A 25,898-nucleotide genomic window follows, 5' to 3' on the forward strand; every position below is an offset into this window, starting at 1 on the left:
GCATTTACTAGCTATATTCCCTTAGGCAAGTTACCGAACCTCTGATTCAACTTTTGAATTTTCTCTTGAACAAGGCAAGGATAACACCTTCATTGCCAAACTTATTCCAAAAACTAAATGAGATAATGCACGTTAAGCACCATGTTTATCAAATAATTGCCCCACCACAAATAATAGTTTATTGTCATTTAAATTACTATACGATAGGTTGTATATTTTGGTTGTTGTTGAGGACTCCTGTTTCTTTTGCCTGTGAGCATTGTACAAATGAGAGATAGCAAAATTATTTGCTGCTTCTTGACTCTGGGGAGTGATGTTTACTTTCTGAAACATAGCTATTGCCTGTGACATGCTATGCTGGGAAGATACTCTGATGCAAGGCAGAATGAAAACCTATAAAACAATTCAAAGCCCTATTAAATGGTGTACTTGTGATACCACATACAATTATTTCCATTCTGATAAATTGGGATGACTACTTGATCCTATCTATACAGCTGAAGATGCATATATCCTATAACCTAGCAATTCTACTCCTAATTGTATGCCCTGAAGAGACTTGTCTACATATGCACAAGATGTATGCAAAATACTTTTAACAGTGTAGTTTATAAAAGAAAAATGTAAATCACCCTAAATAGGTAAGTGGTAGTATATCCACACAATGATGAAGAAAATGTATGAAGTAGATTGGATAATTATCATAAATATAAATTGAATTAAAAAAACTATTTAGAAGAAAGCATGCATCATGATGTATTTATATAAAGTTTTAAAATATGCAAAGCAGTATTTTATAGATATGTGGTATAGATATGTACATATGCATAAAAGCATAAATCCATGCATGGAGATAATTAATATTAAATCTAGAATAGTGGTTATCTTTGATGTGGAAGGAAGATTATGATCGTGGCACTGGGAATGTCTTATTTCTTAAGCTAGTATTTTTTGTATAATTATTTTGATATAATTGTATAAGCTTTTTTATATAATTATTTTATATAATTATATAAGCCTTTTGTATATCTAAAATATTTAATAAAATAATGTAGTTCAATATATCAATTATAAATAGCCAAAAAACAAGCCCTCAAAACTTGCAATTTTTTTCTGTTCTTATCTCTATTTTACTTTCATCATTCTTTTAAAATTTATATTTTCACATACTTATTGCTTTTAATTTGAAAATGTTAACATTCTACATTATATTTATTGGGTAAAATTTCAGTATCAAATTTTGGAAAAGTCATCCAGTATTCACTCCTAGTAACCTAACTTTGTATTTCTTCCAACCTAATTGCTTAACAGCTGGAGGTGTCAGTCAGCAACATTAAATGGCATAACTTTGTAAGGCATCAGTTTAAATATTTGACCACTTGAGTGATGTACGACATATTGTACATGTTGAAGAGATGAACTCAGGGAACTAAAAGGAAGAAAATTGCCTTATTTGTAGTGTCAGTCTTCATTATACAATAATCTTACATATTACCCCTATAGATCCTGAGAGAATTCTCTTCTTCATGTGGCATTTCAGCTGCAACTTTGACCTTCACTTTGTCACACAGGAATCCCAGGAACCAGTCAAGAACTGACTGCAAAACCTTCATCAGATGTTCTTACTCTTTCCTTACAATCATATCTTATATTTCCCATGACTTAAAAACAATGATAGTTTGGCTAATTTAAAAATATAAAACATCTAATTTTAAAACAAATGCCCTCTTTTGTTTAAATCATTTTGAAAACAACCAGGATTAGAAAGTAGCGACTATCCATTGTTGTAAAATTTTACTTTATAGAAAGAGATAAAGAGATTTACACCTAAAGAGGTAAACTGTTTCTTTGTTAAATATAGCTTGCTTTTACTTTACTACCTTTGAATTTTGACGCCAAGTGCAGAAAACTGTCTGGCAAAATGTTCTAATACTTGCTTGATTTGTCACACTGTGGTGGTCATGTGACCTTTTTGTCACATTGTGAAATTCTTTGAACTGTTTATCCCTGAAGAACTGGTTTTCTTTCCCATCTCTCTTCCATCTCAGTAGGTGGTATACATTACAGATTCTGTTCAAACTAATTAACATCTCAAATTTGCCTTTCTCGAGTGCTCAGAGCCCTGGTAGTTTTATTTCATGCAATAGGGAAAATAATAATAATAATAATTTTCCTCATCTTGTGAGAGCAAATAGTATAATGAAAAAAGATTATCTTAACAATCCTTTAGTTCACTATTTCATTTTCTGTCTTTTATTTTATAATAAATAAAATCAAATTCAAAAAGCTAGGTGATTTCAGAGAGCCAGTATTTCTGGTAGACACTGCAATTGTCAAGGCCCTGATGACTGGATTGACCCTCATCTAGGGGAGGGATTCCTACATTTTACTGACAGCTGTTCATTCACTTATTCATTAGTTCACATATTTATTTGATCATTCATTAAGTTCATAAACACTTTATAAACATCTACCATGCTTCTTATAATTGTTGCCTTGCAGGAAGTAGCAGAAAGGGAATAATCATAGATACAAGTGAGTTCATGACTATAGGAAGTGCTGTAACAGAAGCATTGATAAAAAGGTTTACTGACTCAAGGGTGTTTATTTCCTATCGTTGTCGATTCCAGCATTTACATTTATTTTATATTGCTTTTAGTTTTATGATGTTTTCCAACTTTTCATTTATTCAAACCCTAATATTGTAAGCTTTAGGTTTGAATCTCTGTTTTCCTCAAGCTTTTATTTTTTGTTCCCGCAAGTCTTTAATTATGGCCAACACACTGTAGATTGTAGAACAAAGTGCTTCCAAATGATTATTTTATTATGTATGTATATGTCACTCAAAATATATAAAGACTAAAAATGTTTATTCTTCATTTGAAGACACATCTTTTTTTTTAAATTCTCTTTAAATATGCTAGGCAAGTATAAGTAATTAATCTTGGTTTGACTATCCCATTAAGATATGTGAGAATGATCTCACCAGCAGAATATGGAACCACTCAGAAAGCATTGGCTGCCTCCCATATTATGGGCCAAGCACCACTCTGGGCTCTAAGTGCAATGAAGTGACTATAAAAATGAGTGAACATGATCCTTGCCTACAAGGAGCAAATAAACACATTATTAATGAGAAGTGTAAGTGTTTTAATTGCACATACCCTCTTGTAATGCCAGCTCGTTTCTTCTCCATTTTTCCTGTACGTATTTTCTCTGGTTAATAGGTATTTCTTCAGTGATCTGAGTTCATGAATATGCTGTTAGCCGTTGTGGATTATTGCAACAAACTGATTCTAGGTGAGAAAGGCTTAATGCTCCACACATCCAAAGCTCTTTTCATTCTGCAATACATGTTGTTGATTATGTTATTAACTCTTTTTCTATCATGAATTTTGACAGAATGAGTATTCTGATATGTAGTTTTGACCTGTAATACCTGGCAGCAGTGATAAAGTGATGATACTTGACCTATTACAAACAAAAGAAAAATACTATATAGATCTTAAAATACAAATTGTATTGTGCCTGACCTGATGTAGCACCTGCTCCTCCAGGGACCCAGACTCTAGGCTAAGTGGAGCAATCATCCCCTAATATTGCTCCCTACACCTGAGCTGGTATGACACCCCACCCCCGTGAGGGCCAGATTCTTCGCAAAGCAGGGGAGTCATGACCTCCAGTGCCTGAGTTGATGTGATGCACTTTCCCTTGAGGAACTGGAATCTTGGGCAGCTCATGTAGCTGCACCTTCTGGGGCCAAGCTAATGTAGTTTCCTATGTCCCAGGGAATCAGAGACATGACTGAGCTGTGCCATCTCATCCTCCAGGCCAAATAGCTGCAAAAATTCACCTTCCTGGAACTGGACTAGACCCCTGGAGTCCAAGCTACTGAAGTTCCCTGGCTCCCCAGGAAGTGGGGTCAACACTGTACTGCTCCCTGCTAACTGGTGCCCAAGCCACAAATGTGTACCATTCCTTGGTACTTAATCCTATTGCACCTGGATTCACAGCCTAAACTCTTGCTGCGTCCTCCCAAAGTCGCCATTGTGTGGTACCCCAATCCCCTGGGGCTTGAGTTGCTGCTGTGCCCTGTTAGTTCTGGGACCAGAACTGTAGCTATGCCCTGATCTCCAGGACCCAAGCCCGAGATCACACTTTTTTCCCAAAGCCATGTCAATGCTGCACCCTTCCTCCCACAATCAAACTCATAGCTATATCCCTGCTCCCAAGGCCTGAGATGTGGGGATGAGCCTCAGAGTCACACACCCTGGTTTTGTTGGTGATAGTTATCCACCCATGCCTTGGAGAGTGAATCTTCATCTTATGGTTTCAACATAATAAGGGCTATTTGTGAAAAATCCCACAGCTAACATCATAATTAATGGGGATAAACTGAAAGCCCTTCTATTAAGATCAAGTACCAAGCAAAGATGACCACTCTCACCACTTCTATTCACCATAGTACTAGAAGTACTAGCAAGAGCAATCAGACAAGAAGAGAAAATAATCTTCAAGTAGGAAAGAAATATGTAAAATTATCTGTATTTACACATGACACAATCCCCTATGTAGAAAGCCCCAAATATTGTACAAAGAAACTTTTAGAACCAATAAATAAATTCAGTAAAGTTGCAGGATACAAAATCAATGTACACAAATCAGTAGCATTCCCTACACAAATATTGACATAGTTGAAAATGAAATCAAGGAAAAATTCTATATATAATCATCAAACAATAAAATACTTAAGAATAAACCTAAGGAGGTAAAAGTTTCTTACACTGAAAACTGCATAACATTAATGAAATAAATTTAAGACAAGTAAATTGAGAGATATTCCATGTTTTTGGATCAGAAAAATCAATATTGTTAAAGTGTGCTTACTATCCGAGACAATACACAGATTCAGTGCAATTCCTGTCAAGATAAGAATAACATTCTTCACAGAAATAGAAAACACAGCCTCGAATTCACGTGGAACCATAAAAGATGTTGAATAGCCAAAGTAATTCTGAGAAAGAAAAACAGCATTTGGGACATTACAATTCTTGATTTAAAATTATATTACAGAACTATAGTAATCAAAGTGGTGTGAAACTGGAATATAAACAGACACAGGTAACAGAAAAAGACAGTGAAACAAAATAGACAGTCCAGAAATAAACCCAATCATATACAGTGAACTTGCATGCCAAGTTTCACAAGGATGCCAAGAATGCACAGTGGAGAAAGGACAGTCTTTTCAATAAATGGTGATGGAGAGATTGGATCCTTATCTTACATCATATGCAAAAATCAACTTAAAATGGATAAAAGACTTAAACATAAGATCTGAAACCATCAAACTCCTGGAAGAGTACATAGGGGAAAAGCTCATTGACATTGGCCTTGGCAATATATATATATATATATTACATGAAAACTTCAGACTACAGAAACAAAAATAATTAAATAGTACTACATCAAAGTAAAACTAATCTGTGTATAGCAAAGGAAACAACAGAATGAAGCAACAACCTACAGATTTGGGTAAGACATTTGGAAACCATATCTCTGTTAAGGGGTTAATATCAACATTTACAAAGAACTTACACAACTGAATATCAGAAAAAAATAACCCAATAAAAAAATGGGCAAAGAACATGAAAGACAAGGAAAACATAAAATGGCCATCAGGTAAATGAAAAGGTGCTTAGCATCATTAATTATCAGGGATATGCAAGTCAAAACCACATGATATATCAACTCACACCTGTTAGGATGTCTATTATCTAAAAGTCAAGAGATAATAAATGTTGGCAAGGGTGTGAAGAAAAGAGGACTCTTGATGGCAACGTAGATGGTGCGGTCATTATGGAAAACAATATGGTACCAGAAGTGAGGCAGTTACCAGGAGAAAATAAAAAGATGTGGGTCAGAGGATGAAAAGTAACCAATATGGGCCGGGCGCGGTGGCTCACGCCTGTAATCCCAGCACTTTGGGAGGCCTAGGCAGGTGGATCACGAGGTCAGGAGATCGAGACCATCCTGGCTAACACGGTGAAACCCCGTCTCTACTAAAAATACAAAAAAAATTAGCCGGGCGTGGTGGCGGGCGCCTGTAGTCCCAGCTACTCGGGAGGCTGAGGCAGGAGAATGGCGTGAACCCGGGAGGCGGAGCTTGCAGTGAGCCGAGATGGAGCCACTGCACTCCAGCCTGGGCAACAGACAGAGGGAGACTCCGTCTCAAAAAAAAAAAAAAAAAGAAAAAGAAAAGTAACCAATACGTAGAATGAACGAGTCTAGAAATTAAATGTGTAACACAAGAACTATGGTTAATAACATTGTACTGTATTTGGAATTTTTGCTATATGAGAAGATTTTAGGGGCTCTTGCCACAAAAAAGGAGGGAGGGCTAACTATGTGAGATGATGAATATGTTAATTTATTTCACTGTAGTAACCGTTTCACTCTTTATATGTGTCCCCTAATATCATGTTGCATACTTTATGTAAATTATTTTTTTAAAAAATCCCAAATATTATAGCCAATTCAGGCACATTCAAATAGTTGAGGCAATAAAAACTGAATATAGTCAAGTAATCAGGAATTGGTAGAAGTGTTGAGCCTTTATGGAAGGCATCACAAATTCATTGTAGAGCAGAGTTGGATCAATATTTGTATAAAGGGTAACATAGGATATACTGGTCAAGGAAATGTTCTAATTTTGGAAGGAGGAGATTGGAGAGAACAGAGGGACAGTTGTCAAAAATGATGTCAGGGATTTGTCTCCATGTGGTATCCACAATACTAACCCCAGAAAGCACCCCCTGAATGATATATTTGTGAGAAATATTTGATGGAAGCAGAGAGAAGAGAAGCTTAACTCTGTCAAGGATATTAGGAGAGGCTTTGCTGAGCGATAAAGTTTATTTGATCCCCAAAAGATATAATGTACGCATTTTGGTTTTATTTTATAGCAAGCATAGTTTTGGGGAGATAATGTGTAAGGCTAAACGTTTTGTGTAACAAATATTCTCACTGATTTCTTTAAGAAGTTTGTGGAAAACACAAAACTAATTAGATCACACTTAAAATCTTCAAGTAAGACAGTTCTTATCTATTTCTAAGAAAATAATAGGTTTAAGAGTATCCCCATGGAAAGCTTCTCCAACAGTGATTTACTTTACATTATTGTATAATCAGTGATCTCCCAAATAAACACATTTGTTCTCCCCAAAATGAAATAATTTTAAGGTCCATTCTAAAAATAAAGCCTGAAAGTGGCAGTTAGCTATATAATTGATTAATTTATTTGGGAATAAAACTTATTTGAGGTGTGCATGTTTTAATTTCCCTTTTATTATTCCTAAAATAGGTAAAACAAATATCAAACACTTTGGGCTTTACTGGAGTGTTCCTGGAAATTGTTGCAAGATGTACTTCATCTTGTGGCAAGACAAATTTTAGAGGAAAAATCTCAGAACTAACATATAGTTATTTATAAATAAAGTAAAGCTAGTTTTCAAAGCAGTGTTTTACTATTGAACAAAACTCCACCTTTACCATCAGAAAAATAAACTTGCTGTCTTAGATTTTTATAAGATTCAGTGCAGTGATTTTTAAAATAAAATTCTTATGCTATGAATAGTATATGCTCTACCATTTCACTCATAAATCCGTTTGTCGTATTAGTTTCATAGAAGGTCAGTTTTTACCTTTTCACATTCTAATAAATTACTACAAGTCTGTTTAATGTATTTGTGTTGTCATTTTCTAGATTAGCAGCTAAAATTTGGTTCACAATGTAGAGAGCATTCATTAATTTGCCTCCTGAGTTTCAAATGGATTGGCTACCAAAGGTAGAAAATTGTTAATTAATTTTCTCAGTGGGAAAAATCTATGGCATGGATTTTAATTATGACAACAGTCACTACTTTCAAATTATTTCTGAATGATGACTAACAACGATGTTAGCCAAATATATCTAGAAACCATTTCCGTTGGCTCCTATCCAATGTATACTCATCAAATCAGTAGTTGTTTTGTTTATTGAAATAATGCTTTTATGAATGTATTGATAATTTTTAATGTTATCCAAGGCAATTTTGAACTCTAATGATTTTGATCAGTTTAAAATTTTACGTGTAGCCACAATATGATAAAAAAAACCCTGCACATTTTAGAGTTGAAATAGACCTTGGAGATTAACTGATTTATGCTTTTTTTTTTCAGATACAAAATGAGGCTAAAATAGACCAAGAGACTTTTTCAAATTCACACACTTATCACTGGATTTGAAATGATAAAAGAATACTACTCAGATTGTTGATGTTTTGAAAGTCGCCTGACTTTTGTAATCTTTATATTTTTAATCTACAAAATGTCAGGGATACTTATTTAAGCAAATGTGGTAGAACAGCAACAAAATCAAATGTTAGAAGCCCTACATAGATTCCAGATCTACCACTTACTAGTTGTGTGTTTTTTTTTCAAATTATTTACACTCTCTGAGCCTTGGTTTTCTTATTGTAAAATGGGGACCCATGTGCTCACAGAACTACTTTAGGTAGAAGATATAATGATAGATATGAAAGTATTAATTTTAGAGGGTTTATCTCAAGGAGAACACAACTATTCCTCTACACGGGCCCTTATGCATGTGTAATGGTCAGGAAGAAGAAAAAAGCAGCCATTCCAAAATTAGCCTACTTTCAGGCCAAAAAATGGTCTCTGTGAATATCCTACACAGACATTTACTCATTACATACTGTTACGGCCCCCTTTTTATGAAATAGAGGTGAGATAAGAAATAACTTCACCTTTTTCTCTCTTCTCTTTCACAACATAGCCCTCCCTATCCTTACCCCATTCCATACCCCTCTACCTGTTTCAAATATTAGAGGCAAAGTCTCCAAAAGTACTTAATTAAAAAACAAAAAACAAAAACAAAACAAAAAACCTCCACTATTCACTGCTTTGTTTAGAGGAGTTTTGGTTCTTTTGCTATTTTATTAATATGCTACTTTGAATTTCAAACTAGAACAGGTGTTTTTTTGGCTCTGTTTTTAGCAGATAGAAAAGCACTGGACGTTAAGCAAAAGTTTATTTAGAATACAAAAGATAGAAAAAATATGTGAAAACATTAGTTGCTATTTCATGAAACTTAATGTGACTAAACATAATACCATTAGGACTTTTAACAGACGAAAATAGATAATTTGTGTGCAAAGTGCTAGCAGCCCTTTCTTGGAGCATAGAAATTACATGTATATCTTCAAGTAACTGAAAAATATATCCGATATGTACGTGTGTTGGTTTGTGAAAACTGAAGTGCAGAATGTCATTGTAAACAATTTTGTTAAAATATTGTGCTTAAAATTTAATACCTCATGTTATAGAAGCAGATGTTATTATATATGTATATATTTTTAAATGCTATCATTTTCAAACTAAGACTTTTAATTAAATGATTTTTTACATTGGAACCAAAGTTAACAGGTTGAATGAAATTTTGCTTATGGCATCTGTTGCCATTTTTAGTAGGTGATTAGTCATTTTCTTTTTCCTGCAAGTATTTGACAGAAACTAAAACAGAGATGAATCATAGTTTCAAGCTGTTGCTCACCTCATCCCTACCAAAAAGGAGAGCCTTGAAATCATCCCAATCTAAGAACTAAATTCTGAAAATCCCTTAAGGGGCTTGACAGAAGTATTTAGCAATGTGAAAATTACAGCAATCTGTCACATCAATTTTAATGAAAGGTAGGCTATATGGAAACATAGATATAATGTAGTAAGAAAAACCCAAGTGAAAATCTCTTTTTGAATATATGAAAACATATTTGCCTCTATAAATACTGAGTTGTTATTGGGTCAACTTTTATAGAGGAGGAGTCCTCAATGATCAGGAGTTTATTATGCAGCTTAGATGAGGTATTTTTAAAATTAATGGCATTAATAATTATGGCTCAGTTGGTGTGTATTCACAATATCATTCTTGTATTAATATATACATTTAAGAATCTTGTTTTGTTCAAGTTATTAAGATTTTTTTCTATTTAAGGAACCACATCCTTGTAATTCTGAATTAGTTATAATACTAAGAGTATCAAATCATTTAATAATGAAGTTTTTCCCCAAGAAAACTTTTAAATTTCTTGGGAAGTTTAAAATTATACAAGAGTCATGCCATTTTGTAAGAGTTAAATTTGGCTGGAGTCACCATTTAATCAATGTAGTATTATTCCCTTAATTATTGAGCTAAGTGGAACTTTAACTTAATTTTTAATTCTCTCTCTCTCTCTCTCTCCCTCCTCTAAGACTATATAATTCTTATGAATATGCATATGACCAGGTTAATTCCACATGGAACTATCATTTATGCCAGTAATGATAGTTTATTTGGATGATAATTGAAAGTGCAAGAGACTCTAATAATGTCTACTTTCCAATCACTTTTTAAATTCATTTAAATATATTTTGGAGAACCTACTGTGTGCCAGGTATTGCTCGGAGTGCTAGGGGAAGAGACAATGAATAGAACAATCCCCTGATTTTACAACACTTACACTCTAGTGGAAGAAGGGAGACAATAAGCAAATCAATGAGTTAATATATCATATGTTGGATGATGAAACGTTATGAAAAAATAAGTTATGGAAAAACAGCCATCCTGAGATGGATCAGGTGGTGAGGAGGGGGTGCTGAATAAATGTTTATATAGGATGATATGTAAAGGTAGATATATAGACCCAAAGGAATAAATGGAAGGGAGGGCATGAGCCATGGGAATAACTATTTGAAAAGTGTTTCAGGCAATACCCTGAGATGGGAACATATGTGATTTGTTAAAGAATAGCAAGAGGGTCTGAAGATGATGAATGCAAAGAGGTAAAAAAGAAGCAGATCGTATATGCATTTTGAGTTAGGTCTATAGGTCTGTGCTCAAAGATCATCTATCAGAAGGACATTTATATATCAGCCTGTACAGGCATAAATTATTGTTCCATGTTGAATTTATTGTTATGGGCCTGAAGGCTTTCATGGATTTTCAAAATAACAATGACAGTATCTTCAATGCTTCAATGGTATAATCCTTCCAGACATTCATGATGTCTCTATCAGAGTTCTCTTCTATAGCATTGACAGTTCTTTCCACTAAGTATCATGTGTAATGAGCTTTAAAGATGCTTATGACCCACTGATCTAGAGACTGAATAAAGAGCTTATATTTGGGGGCAAGTAGATTATTTTAATGCCTTTGATATTAAGCCCATGGGGTTTGGGTAGCCAAGGGTGGTGTTCAATATTAAATAAACTTTAAAAGATTGTCCCTTACTGGCAAGGTACTTCCTGACTTCACAGTCAACGTGTTGATGGAAACAATTCAGAAAAAGGGGTTCTCATTGTCCAGGCCATCTTTTTTATATAATCAAAAGCTGGTGTTTATCTTTTCCTTCAAGCTTTGGGGGTTAGAAACTTTATAGAGAAGGGAAGTCCTGATCATAAACCTGATTGTATTTCCACAAAACCATATAGTTAGCTTATTTCTTGCTGCCTTAAATCCTGGTGCATACCTCTGTTCCTTACTAGTAAATGTCCTTTGTAAGCATTGTTTTCCATATGGGGCACTTTCATCCACATTAAAAACCTCTTTAGGAAGATATCCTTTCTCCAGGCATCTTCCTAGTGATGTCTGGAAGCTCTTCCGTTGTCTCTTGGTCAGCAGAAAATGCTTCTCCTGTTGTGTTGGTATTTTTTAAGTCAAATCTCTTTCTAAAATTATTAAACCATCCTTAGCTGGCATTAAATTCTTCAGCTTTAGACTATCCACCTTCCTTTTGCTTTAAGTTTTATACATTGACTTCGCATTTTCTCAAATTGTATTATTCTATAGATATGCCTTTCTTACAGTAATCTTGCACCCACGTAAAAGTTGCATTTTTAGTATGAGGTAAAAACGTATTTCACAAAAAGTACGAGGTTTTTGCACCTGCTGGCATAGCTGCAGTAATGGCCTCACAAATTTCCTTTTCCTTTTTAACAATGATCCTTACACTGGATTCATTTGTCTTGAAATTGAAAGCAATCACAGCTGCAGCCCTCGATCTAGGGTACATATCAAGTAATTCAGCTTTTTTTGTGTGTAATGTCATGTATTTTCCCTGCTTCTTGGTAGCAATTTTGGCATCACTAGTTGCACTTTTTATGGGTCATGGTATCATTCCAGGTTTATGGTATTGCACTAAAAAATAAGAAAAAAATAGGTGAGAAACATAAGGGGTCATTTTTTTACTGCAATATGCAATTTGCTGGAGAGAGAAAGTGCTCACACAGAGATGAGTAGCATTACATTACATTTTAAATGGATGCTTGCAACACTTAAGGCCCTCTGCAATAGCAACAGGAGGTGGCTACAAAATTATTACAGTCATAGAATATGTACTACAATTAATTTTCTGCAGCTATGGTTTAAGTCTGCATATGTCTGTATTTGTTTATATCTCTGTTAACTGTGAATAAGCCCGCGTAGAGTCCGTAAGCTTTTGTGTGCATATGTTTTAATAAATTAAAACTTTTTATAATAGTTTTGTGTATGTTTTATGGTAGTAAATGATAAAATAGACTATATCTACGTATATTTTATGCATTCATGACACAGCTTTTTTTCTATATTTCTAGACTATGCAATTAGTCTGCGAAGTTTTTCAGATTGTCACAAATCACCAAAAATTTTTCCAATATATTTATTGAAAGAAAATCTGTATTTGAGGGGACACACCCATTTCAAATCTGTGTTGTTCAGGGATCAACTGTGTATATGGTTGAGAACTTCGAGGCACAAGGAAGAGAACTGATTTTTTGTAAGGTTGTCCAACCTTTAATTAGTAATAAATGTTAATTAATTAATTAAGATTTGTCAAACAACTCTATACACCAGGCATTCTTATCAACATCAGAAACATAGATACAGACCAAACTATCTGACATCAGAAACAGACTGTGTGACAAAAATATGAATTCAGGGAGTTTACATGGGAGGTGTCAGGAAGCTCTTATAGAGAAGTATGGAATTGAGAGTAAAGGCAGGAAGCCAACAAGAATGAAATATTGAGAAAATTACCACTGAGGGCAGCTGAGGGTCAGTCTTGCTGGTGAACCCTGCAACACAGTGCAGAACAGTACTTCTTGAATTTTCCATTAGATGTTTGTGGGAAAGTACAGTACTTTCTTTTTTAAAAATATAAATATCTAATCTGTTGTAGAAGATATTTTTGATACTTTAACAATTAGATTTAACATAAACAAAGTTATCCTGTAAAATTACTCTAAAAGTTTTGAATCCCTGGCTTTTAATATCTAATTTATTTAATCATAGATCAATAACAAACCATTTTCAGAACATATTTGGAATAACACAAGTGTTGAATATGCTTTGAAGTTGTTCCCCAGTACTCACTCCTAGCAAGGACAGTGTAAAAACTTATCTTCAAGATGAATATTAAATTCGAAGAATCTAGTACCTTTTCTAGTTATAGAATTTTAATTTTACATTAATGGAAAAAGTGAAGGAGATTATTTTTAATGTTTAAAAGTCCATTTTTTCTATTCCTGTATATTACTTCATACCTCTAACCTTTACCTGGATGAATGTCTATTCTACACATGTACAATATTTTGTGTAATCATTAGTTCCCAAAATTTACAAATGAAGCTTAAAAATTAGGTACCTTAGTTACATATGTATAAATAAATATACAAATATATGAAATATACCTGCACACTTCTAGGATTTATACACTCACGTAATTCCAATATATAGTTAGTACTCTTTTCACAATGCTGGAGCTTCTTACTTACCTTGCCTTGAAATGATAATGTTGAAGGAGGGTTGCAGTGATAAACTACAAACATACTGTGGGGGAATAAAGTTAAGCAAAAGGACTTTCCACAGCTTTCTAGGCTGAAACCTTTGGGTATACTGACAAGAAACCTGACAAATACTTTCAAGCTAAAGTACTTTGCAGATTTTTTTTTCATTTTAAGGGCAGATTTTTTTTTTTTCCCAAAAACTCAGGATTTTCATAAGGTCACCATTATTTTTTATGTAAAATAAATACAGTGAGTTTTGCTAATTAGGTAGTATCCAGGTGCATACCTTAGGCAAACTGATTCATGCACCTCAAAAACAGGACCTATTTGCTGTTTTCATCAGAAGCTCAGAACTCTGATTAGTTATTCAGTGCATGTTTGCATCTGGACATTGTAGACTTAAATTTTAAGGACAGTTTCAATAAATAGTTTTAAGTAAAGCATCATGTTAGATGCTATACAATTATTTTGCCTTTGAAACGGGATTGTATTCATCAGCAGGATGTGTGTTTTTATGTCTGGAGATAAAAGTGGAGGTGGCTGCTGCCAAAAGAGCGCAGAGCTTTCTCCAAGGCCTCTTTTGAATGACATTGAAGGTGGACTGTTCTCAGCTCAAGTGTGGCTGTTCTCTCTGGATTTATGCTTCATCTAGCAGCAGACAAGTTGAATTGTAGTTAGACATGTCTGAAGGTAGAAAAAGCAGGTTATATTCACAGTATCTTTTTTTCTCAGCTGTCTTTAGAAGTCACATATAACTCTTGGGAGAGTATATTGCTGCTACTTCTTGATACCATGCTTTACTCCTATCTAAAATTTTCATACTGTGCTAGGTTATAATGCTTTCTTTACATATAATATGTAAATAATGTTTGCAGGCATCCAAGGGATGAGACTGTGTGTGTGCCTTATGCACTATTGTAGGACTATCTGCATATACATTTGCAAGCAAATTGTAAGTATCAAGTTAGTATTTGTTACGTGAATGACTGGATGAATGAATAAAAGTGCACTAAGGGCTATGGTGCGTAGACTGCGTGGAGGGAGGGATAAGAATTCACAGATGTCCCTGGCCTCCCTGTTTGGCGTTAGCTTTACTCCTAGTTTCTCTATATCTCACATGTGTTTCTCCTTGTGTGTCCAGGAAAACTGATTGATTTGCTGCGTTAAGACAGTATCTTCTTAATCTTTTTCTTTGTGTAGGGGGGAAAGAAATATATATATATATATATATATATATATATATATATATATATATATTTTTTTTTTTTTTTTTTTTTTTTTTTTCCTTAGTCCATCTGAAGCAAAGTTGGTATTCCCAGGAGACTGTGGGAAAAATAATACAGGTTAACCCAAAAGCAAATGCATAGGCTTAGAAATAAATACTCTTTCAGACTACTACTTCGAAAAGTCCAACTGATCATTAGTTCAGCTGGCATGATTCTGTCTCTTTCAAAGGCTCTTGATACCCTGCCCAACTCTTCCCAAATCCTGTCACCATCAATTTGTTTGAAACTAGCTACTTCAAGCTGTTTTTACTTTTGCTTAAGCTTTGCTTCTTCATTTATTATTTTACATGACTCAGTGGGCTATGAATGTTTGAAAAGGGTATGCCTCTAGTGGGCCACAACTGTGATCTTGATTGTAGCCTGAGGAATGTTGCTAGTTCCTAACTCAATTTAGAACCATGATGATGGACATTTCATAAAACAAATAGGATAAAATCCTTTCTCACTAGGTTAACTAATTTCTCTCTCTCTCTTTTTTTCTTTAAGCAATCCTGTTATTTTTTCAAGCAAAAAAGTGTTTAAACATAACTGAAAAAAAGGAAGCTGCTCTAAAACAATCCAGAATTAAATGCACTGACAGAGGAGTGATGTCTTGTCTTTCATGATTATCTCCAGAATCAGTTTCTAAAACGCTCAATGTAATCCCTTTCTCCTTTTCCACTTCCTGTAGCAGTTACTAGAACAACCATCCTCCCAGTAATGGGGGCCAGAATGCTAGTGTTAAACCTGACTCACATCCAGTGAGACATGAAAGCTAATGACTTTGATTGCCTTAATATTTCCCACTGCATTTTCTCCTACCATTTTTCTTTCTCATTGCCATGAATTGGGCTTTAACATTCCTTACCCAAGTTACTAAAGAGAGACTCTTTCCTGCAAACTTTTCTTGACACAGTTTATTTCTAAAACACAAAACAGGTCATGACTCTCAAATGCTCCCATGGCCTATAAACGGCCAAATTTAAATTCCAGACTATACTGTACTTATCATGACCTCTTCAACTTGATTTCTTTCCATATCCCTGCACTCCAATCCAAGTCACATTATCCTAGTATTTTTCCCTTGACTCTTCTCCATGTTAAAACAGCACAGATAGCACCTCTTCCATGGAAATCCTTCTCAAAACTCTCATATACTTTCAGAATTATGTCAAATTGTTCTGTGCTCCCATAACACTCCATTCTTTTCTCTCTCTAATAACACAATGTTTTTGTTTTTTAAATGTCTATGTACCTGTGGAATATAAAATCCCTGAAGGTTGGGACCACATCTTCACTCTATGTATCTCTAGTGCCTAACCCTTTCCCCAGGCAGATCAGATATGCTCCGTAACATTTGTGGAAAACCACCACCACAAGAAGAGTAGATATCTGGTTGATGAAAACATGTCAGAGTTGATAAAAATTAAATTCTAATTGTATGTATGCTTACACTTTTAGTTATATAAGCCTTCCCACCCCCATCAGTAGCTAAAATATGTTCCAACTACTTATTGATCTTCTACAAGTTTATTAAGTAATTTTTCCCCTATGGAAAATCATGTTAAGATTATTTTTTATTCTATGAGTATAATCATTCAACATATCATGAGCCCCATGGAATAATTAACTTTTAAGCTTCAGATTATACATATGAAAAACAATAAGACATTATAACTAGGTTTGACAGTAAAAACAAATCATTTCAGACATTACATCTTTGTCGTGTTACACTGTTGCTCCAAGAACAGAACTATATTTAGATTTTTTCCAATTCTTCTTTAAATAACCATATTCTTTTAACTTTGTACACTAATTTCCTTTTGTATGCTTTCTACCATCTGTTGTGTGTCTCTTTCTCACTTAAGTATCATTGCTTTGCCTAGCTAGCTTGTTATTCAATTGAGGGTACTTATTTGGAAAAAAAAAAAAAACAAATTTGCAAAACTATTGCTATGTTGCTAAAGGGAATGGCAGAGAGGAAAATTTGGAGGAGGTAGTGGGATTAATAGAAATACCTATTAATCTGTTCTTTCTAAGAAAGAATACACTTGATTTTATCAATGTATTTCTTAACTTTATGTATCACTTACATGGTACTATCATGTTTTAAGCACTTTACAAATATTTACTCATTCAGTCCACATCACAGCTCTAACAAGGTCATTACTATTTATTTTTTTTTTTACATACGAAAACTAAGGCACAGACACTTAACAGTCGCTTGCCCAATGTGTCAAAGTTGAGGATTTGAAGACTGCCAATCTGGCCCAAAATTCATATTCCTAATCACTCTGCTTTGATGCCTCCTTGGGAAGTTGAATTTTTCATAAGGAAGTGAGGTTTGCAGCTGATCAGCTTCCTTTGTCCACTGAGTATTGGGCTTCATTTCCAAGTGGTAATGGTGGTCTCCAGACAAGGCAGTTCTGTTGGCCTTGTTGCAGCCTCCCTCTTCCATTTCCTCTCCTCTCTGATCTATGCATCTCTTTCCTTAGTTTAAAAACAGGTCTGATGGTGAGGTGGGTATGCTCTGGCTGTTTAATGCTGGATAAAGGAGTGGGTTCAAGAATGCTTAACATGCTGCATTGTAATGAGAAAGAAATGTCCCACACAACATGCCAATAACTTTCCCACTGATCCAAAGAAAAGTGATTTTAGCATGCTTGGCCAACTAGACTCAAAGGGCATAGAGATTTAATGCTCTATTTTTGTGCTGGTGGGCCTCCTGCCTGGAGGTGGTGCTTTCCAGAGAGCATCAGCTGTGGTAGTATGGAGACGAACTGGCAGTAGGCAGGTCCCTAGAACTCCCAAGAGTATATGCCCTTTGCCTTCAGCTACCAGGTTGGGTAGGGAAGGACCATCAGGTCGGGCTGGGCTAAGTGTGTCTGAGCTCAGACTCTGCTTGGGTGGGTCTTGCTGTGGCTGCTCTGGGGGATGGGAGTGAGGTTCCTATGTCAATGAAGTTGTGTACCTAGGAGGATTATGGCTGCCTCTGCAGAGTCATGCAGGTTGTCAGGGAAGTGGGGGAAGGGTGCCAGTTAAGGCCTCACCCAGCTCCCACATAAACCAAAGGACCGGTCTTGCACCCACCTTCCCCCGCCCAAACCCCTCCAAAACAGCCCCAAGTCTGTTTCCAGGTGGTGGACGAGATGGACTTTAGAACTTGCCCCAGGCTACCACCTCCTAGCTGCAAAAGAAAAAGGCTTGGTTCTTCCCACACCTATGGAGTCTGCACACTGGATTCGCACCCTCCCCTGAGGTCTGGTCAGGAGGCTTCTTGACCCATTCAAATAATTGTTACAAAGTTCAGCTGGAGATTAACTTCTCCCTGTGGTGTTTCCTGCCCCCCTCACCCCACTCCTCTGGCCACCGTCCTGTTGGATCCCTGTGATTCCAGGCAGGAATGGCCTGCTTTGGGAACTAGCGAGCTCCCAGGGTCCTTCTGCTGCTTCCTCTACCCCTGTATTTCGCTCAGCTCTCTAAACTGACTCAGCTTCAAGTAAGGTCAGAAACTTCTCCCACAAACAGACCTTCAGTTATTGCAGTGGGGGGATGTGTATTTGGAAGAGGAAGCTCTCCCTTTCCCACTTCCACGGCAGGAGCACTCATAGTGTTTGGACTGTTTCCTGGGTCCTGCAGGAGCCGTCTGCTTCCTTCAGAGTTCTATGAGTCTTCTTGGGATTACTGGTTTGTTCTTGCAGTTGATCTGGAACTAAAATTCACAGCGCAAGTCTCCTCATGCTGCTCTGTCCTGAACCACAATCTAGTCCTGCCTCCTGTCCACCATGATAATCTCTCATAAATAATATTGATAGACCTTTAGCAAGATTAACCAAGAAAAGAAGAGAGCAAATCCAAATAACCTCATTAATAAAAGAAACAGGAGATATTACAACTGACACCACTGAAATACAAAAGATCATTCAAGGCTACTATGAATAACTTCACGCACATAAATTAGAAAATCTGGAAAGAGATGGATACATTCCTGGAAAAACACAACCCTCCTAGCTTAAATCAGGAATAATTCAATAGCCTGAACAAATCAATAACAAGCAATGAGATTGAAATGGTAATTTAAAAATTACCAACAGAAAAAAGGCCAGGGCCAGACAAATTGACAGCAAAATTCTACCAGACATTCAAAGAAGAATTGGTACCAATAGTTTTGACACTATTCCACAAGATAGAGAAAGAAGGAACCCTCCCTAATTCATTCTGTGAAGCCAGCATCACCCTAATACCAAAACCAGGAAGGGACATAAGCAAAAAAGAAAACTACAGACCAATATCCTTGATGGATATAGATACTAAAATCCTTAACAAAATGCTAGCTAACCAAATCCAACAACATATGAAAAAGATAATCTGCCATGATCAAGTGGGTTTCATACCAGGGATATGGGGATGGTTTAACATATGCAAGCCAATAAATGTGATATACCACATCAACAGAATTAAAAACAAAAATCACATGATCATCTCAATAGATGCAGAAAAATACATTCACAATATCCAGCATCACTCTATGATTAAAACTGCAAAATCGGCATGCAGGGGCATATCTTAATGTAATAAAATCCATCTATGACAAACCCACAGCCAACATAATACTGAATGGGGAAAAGTTGAAAGCTGAAAGCATTCCCTCTGAGGACTGAAACAAGACAAAGATGCCCACTCTTAGCACTCCTCTTCAACATAGAACTGGACGTCCTAGCAAGAGCAATTAGACAAGAGAAAAAAAGAGCCTCCAAATCAGTATAGAGGAAGTCAAACTGTCAGTGTTTGCTGATGATGTGATTGTTTACCTTGAAAACCCCAAGAACTTCTCCAGAAAGCTCCTAGAACTGATATAAGAATTCAGCAAATTTTCCAAATACAAGATTAATGTGCACAAATCAGCACCTCTTTTATACACCAACAGCAACAAAGCAGAGAATCAAATCAAGAATTCAACCCCTTTTACAAGAGCTGCAAAAAATAATAATAATAAAATAAAATAATTAGGAATATACCAACTAAAGAGTCAAAAGACCTCTACAAGGAAAACTACAAAACACTGCTGAAAGAAATCATAGAAGACACAAACAAATGGAAACACATCCCATGCTCATAGATGGAGAATCAATATTGTAAAAATGATCATACTGCCAAAAGCAATCTACAAATTCAATATAATTCCCATCAAAATACCACCATCATTCTTCAAAGAACTAGAAAAAAACACTTCTAAAATTCATATGGAACCAAAAAAGTGTCCACATAGCCAAAGCAAGACTAAGCAAAAAGAACAAATCTAGAGGCATCACACTACCTGATTTCAAACTATACTATAAAGCCATATTCACCAAAACAGCATGGTACTGCTATAAAAATAGGCACATAAACCAATGGAACAGAATAGGAAACTCAAACTCAAATACTTACAGCCAGCTGATCTTTGATGAAGCAAACAACTTGAAGTGGGGAAAGGACACTGTTTTCAACAAATGGTGCTGGGATAACTGGCAAGCCACATGTAGGAGAATGAAACTGGATTCTAATTTCTCACCTTATACAAAAATCAACTCCAGATGGATTAAGTACCTAAATCTAAGATGTGAAGCTATAAGAATTCTAGAAGATAACACTGGAAAAACCTTTCTAGATATTGGCTTAGGCAAGGATTTCATGAACAAGAACCCAAAAGCAAATGCAATAAAAACAAAGATTGATAGTTGGGTCTTAATTAAACTAAAGAGCTTTTGCATGACAAAAGCAACAGTCTGAAGGTTAAACAGACAACCCACAGATTGGGAGAAAGTCTTCACAATCCATATATCTGACAAAAGGCTAATATCCAGAATCTATAACAAACTCAAAAAAATCAGTAAGAAAACAACAAAAAATCCCATCAAAAAGTGGGCCAAGGATGTGAATAGACAATTCTCAAAAGAAGATATACAAATGGCCAAAAAAAAAATGAAAAAATGCCCAACATCACTAATGATCAGGGAAATGCAAATCAAAACCATCACGCGCTACCACCTTACCCCTGCAACAATGGCCATAATAAAAAAATAAAAAACAGTAAATGTTGGTGAGGATACAGTGATCAGGGAACACTTCCAGACTGCTGGTAGGAATGTAAACTAGTACACCCACTATGGAAAACAGTGTGGAGATCCCTTAAGGAACTAACAGTAGAACTACCATTTGATACAGCAATCCCACTACTAAGTATCTACCCACAGGAAAATAAGTCATTATACGAATAAGATACTTGCACATGCATGCTTATAGCAGCACAATTCACAATTGAAAAATCGTGGAAACAACCCAAATGCTCATCAATCAATGAGAGGATAAAGATACTGTGGATAAAAAACTATATATATATATATATATTTTTTTTTTTCACTGTGTGTGTGTATGTATGTGTATATATATATATATACACATACATACACACACACACACATATATAATGTATATGTTATATATACACGATGGAATACTATTCAGCCATAAAAATGAATGAATTAACAGCATTTGCAGCTACCTGGATGAGACTGAAGGCTATCATTCTAAGTGTAGTAACTCAGGAATAGAAAATCAAACATCATATGTTCTTGCTGATATGTGGGAGCTAAGCCATGAGGACACATAAGAGTGAGACAATGGACTGTGGGGACTTGGTGGGGAAGAGTGGGAGGGGGGCGAAGGATAAAGACTACAAATACAGTTCAGTGTATACTGCTCGGGTGATGGTTACACCAAAATCTCACAAATCACCACTAAAGAACTTACTCATGTAACCAAATACCACCTGTACCCCAATAACTTCTGGAAAAATAAAAAAGAGCATAGAGAAAACCAACATTTGGGAATGATGCTAGAAGTCGTTGGCAGCACAGAGTAGAGGGGTAGAGCCACTGACACTTTTTCTGGCTTAGGTCTGCTAATCCTTCCAATCTGTTTAGCAATGGAGTGACCTAGCTCAGTCAACTTCTTTTTAAAACCCAATAAAGCTACTCAGGTCTTTAAAGATTGAACTCATGATTATTGAGAGGACAAAGTGGTAAAATGAAGAGAAAGCAGTGCATGCGAATATGTCACACTGGATGCTCACACATACACTGGAGATACACACAGAAACACAAGTACACGTATAGGATTATATATGCATATTTATATATGCAAACGTATATATTGTAACATAAAGACGGGTTGAATGATAGATGTTATAAATGCATTAGAGTATATAGAGTGTATAGAACTAAAGGACTCAATATTTCTTTAATTAATAGATGAATAACAGAATTAGCTGACCAAGTCAATTGTTGCAAGTATTTAAAGCAGACTAGGTCTTAATATCAGCAATGTTTTCAGAAATTATTGGAGACTAGAAGGTTTGGAATTGAGGGGAGGCAAACCACAGGTGTGTAAAGAAATAAAATAGTGTGAATTTTTACCTTAAGATAATTAAAAAAAAAGAGATTAAAACCATGATGGAAGTTATTACCAAATATCATATTAAAAGTTGGCTTTCGTTTCCAAATATTTAAGTAATGCTGGATTTTTGGAGTGACTTACTTTCTCCCGTACAACAATGACTTCCTACATCTATTTTTCAGGATTAGACATTCATAAAGCAAAATGACTCATTTGTATATTTTGGTCAGCAGTTCAGGTCATTACCCATTAGAACACACTGTTACTAAGAGGCATCTTTTGGTTTATTTTAATTCCTCAACATCTGCATCCTTTAGTTGCTTATCCACACATTTCCTCTCTGTTTTCCCTTCTTTGATTATTCCTTCATTTAGTGTTCCAGTGTTGAGTGTTGAAGACACATTAAGCCGAGTAAAGCTTATTAAATCTTCCTTTTATATGATGTTTAAAGTGTTTAAACATAACCGAAAAAAAGGAAGCCGCTCTAAAAGAATCCTGAATTAAATGCACTGACAGAGCAGTGATGTCTTCTCTTTCATATGATAAATAAAAGGAGTGGACTTTGCTGTAGAGGAAAAAGAAACTGATTAGGCCACTGATTTTGAAACCATAGAATCAATGACTTGAGGAGAAGATTTACTTACAGGAGTATAAACTGAACGAGGGCATAAAAGCTCTTATTGGAAAGAAATGTAAAGCACTCCAAAAGCTAAACAAATAGAAAGGAAGCAAAAATAGCCTACATATCTTTTGAGAACAACATGCTCACTGTTTCTTTTGTTTGTTCATGTTCCTCCATCTGACTGTTCTTTAGGAAACTTCACTTACTCAACCCATCCTCAGCTCTAGTAAATTTAATATTTTGATCCTACCGTTACTTATTTATTTCTATCCCAAGCTTCCTATATTTTTGCTTTTTACCTGTTGGCATTTTCACAACCATGTTTCAGCAGTTTGGGTATGTCAATTCTTTAAAAGTCTATTCGGAATACTCGTTTCTTCTGTCTAAACCTATCTTGCTTTGCTAGTACCCCTGCCATTAGATCTGCCAGAAATCTTAAAGTTTATAGTGTAACAGCATGCACAAGCTTCTCTCTTGACTTTATATGTGCTTTGTTTTGTACTCCATTCAGAACACGAACAGCCTCTAACAAAGGCTTTTAGTTGTCTCTGCCTTTAGTGGCCATCATTGCTCCTGTTCACTTGGCACTAGCTGGTCAGTCAGCATGTGCTCGATGAGTCAACTCTGTTACGAAGTGGATTGCTGACAGCCAATCCCAGTAACTTGGCTGAAACGTTGAATATAATGCTTCTGTTTCCTACTTAGAGAGACAACATTATATTACATTCTTCCGATAATGCATTTTTCCACTAAGCATACACTGATCTCCACATGGTTGAACTATAAAACTCAATTTAGATAGAAAGGAAATAAATAATATGGAAAATGGAGAAGCGCAGTAAGGCCAGAACAAGTTTAATAGATAATATTATTTAAAGAATAACCATGAATCGTTTTTGCATTTGGAATAAATTTTTATTCCTTGAGGATTATACGGGTCAGTCCAGGCGCAGATTGAACTGTCCAGGTTGCATTTTAGAATGTTTGCCTTCTCAGTTATAGATAATTTGTAATGTTGCTTTATTTTGTTTTTAAATCTATTGCCTTTGCAGTGGCTACAAAATTATATTGTTTACAAAGGAACTTCTATTCTGACATTAAAAAGCAAAAGCTTTGTTTAATTGAAAGGGAGCGTTTGTTTCTGTGAATGTTTGATCTCCTTTCTCTACTTTTAGTGGGTCTTAAATAGAAGGTGTAGTAGGGAAAAGAACGTAAAATAAAACATGTCGTCTGTTCCTAAATCAACTTAAAATGGTAAATATTGGTTTTCTGACTTCTCCAGATAACATGAATAGATGTACTGCATTTATTCAATAGCTATAAAAGATATTGCTGAAGATAAAAGCAGAAAAAAAAGCATTTAGTTCAGTGCAGAGTCTGGAAGTGATGCTATATTCCGTCTATCCAATTACTGCCAAACTAGTCAGGGAGAAGTACATTTCTTTGAAGAGCAGAAGCATAACTAGTACATGGTTATATTTCAGTTTTAACAAACATTCTTGAGAAAGAGAAAATTTTGTTCTTGAAAATGGCCACTTTTCTTTTTAAAATGTCTGTGGTAATTGTGTCATTTAGATAATGAGGAATAACAGTGCTTTAGTTGAACTTCTCTAACTTAAGAATGTTAATCATAGGAAAATTAGATGATGTCTTGTACATGTCATTACATCACATGATCAACAAAAGATTAAGTACACATAAATAGATTTTAAGGAATAATACATGCTGCCAGCTTACGGTGATATGTTACTGACACATGTAGTAGTTATTTTGGATATATATATATATACTTGGTGTATATTTATGAAGAGCAGAAGGTCCTCATAAATGATGGTAATGAATATTTCTGTCATTTAAAGACCTTGAGAACCTATAAATATCATCAATGTGAAGAGCTTTCTCACTGCTTATGTTCCAAAAAGATTAACACACTTATGTGCAGCATTTAAAAAAATTAAAAATAAATAAATAAAGTCTACAAGTCTTCGTTTTCAATAAAGCAGTAAATATTATTAGCCTGTGATGGGAAACCCTGAAAATAGCCAACGAATAGTAGCATACTAAATTCCATGAATGTATTAATATTATACATACAATAGAATGAAATATATTAAAAATTGCAATACGCATAACAGAAATATGATGGATATATGTAATGTAAAGACAGCCCTTTCAAACTGCCAAGAAAAAGCCAAACAAGCAAACTAATTAGCCAAGGGTTGAATAGGGCGTTTACAGGAGATTAAATCTGAATGGCTAAACAAAACATGAAAAGAGACTACTCAAACTAGTTGTCAGGAAAATGAAAGGATATATATAAAATGTTATGGTATATTATAAAGCATATTGTTTTTGCAATTAGTTAAGATAATATGGTAAGAATTAAAAAAAGAAACATTCCATGTGATGTGGAGGGATATTCAAGAGATAAGATTAAGTATAATAAGCAGGATATAGAAAAGCACATACACTTTGATCTTACTTTTTTGTTATGAAATAATTTCTACATAGGTTTGTGTATGTACATGTTTATGTGTTGTATGTGTGTTCTAGGTGAAAATATTGAAGAATACATAATATAAGTGAATATGTAATTATATATTAAATCTTACTTATATTGTATGTGAAGCTTACATATATTGTTAATGTGGAATATGGCAAAGGGTGATGTGGTAGGCAGGAGGAAGGTAAAGCAAGCAAAAGAGAAAAGAAGAAGA

The 25,898-nt window shown here is 35.1% G+C and overlaps 1 protein-coding gene across 23 annotated transcripts in view, besides 1 other annotated feature; it reads left to right on the top strand.

Annotated features, from left to right (window-relative positions):
* NAALADL2 (N-acetylated alpha-linked acidic dipeptidase like 2) overlaps window positions 1-25,898 on the top strand; it is a 1,369,567-nt gene that overhangs the window by 743,770 nt on the left and 599,899 nt on the right. The window lies entirely within an intron of this gene.
* Window positions 22,628-22,922: a silencer, noted in NCBI's record as "tiled region #14988; HepG2 Repressive non-DNase unmatched - State 24:Quies". NCBI's record gives its function as "represses a minimal TATA promoter and a strong SV40 promoter by Sharpr-MPRA in HepG2 cells {active_cell/tissue: HepG2}" and the evidence as "EXISTENCE:reporter gene assay evidence [ECO:0000049][PMID:27701403]".

Source organism: Homo sapiens, chromosome 3, assembly GCF_000001405.40.
Source record: "Homo sapiens chromosome 3, GRCh38.p14 Primary Assembly".
NCBI classification, from domain to species: Eukaryota; Metazoa; Chordata; class Mammalia; order Primates; family Hominidae; genus Homo; species Homo sapiens.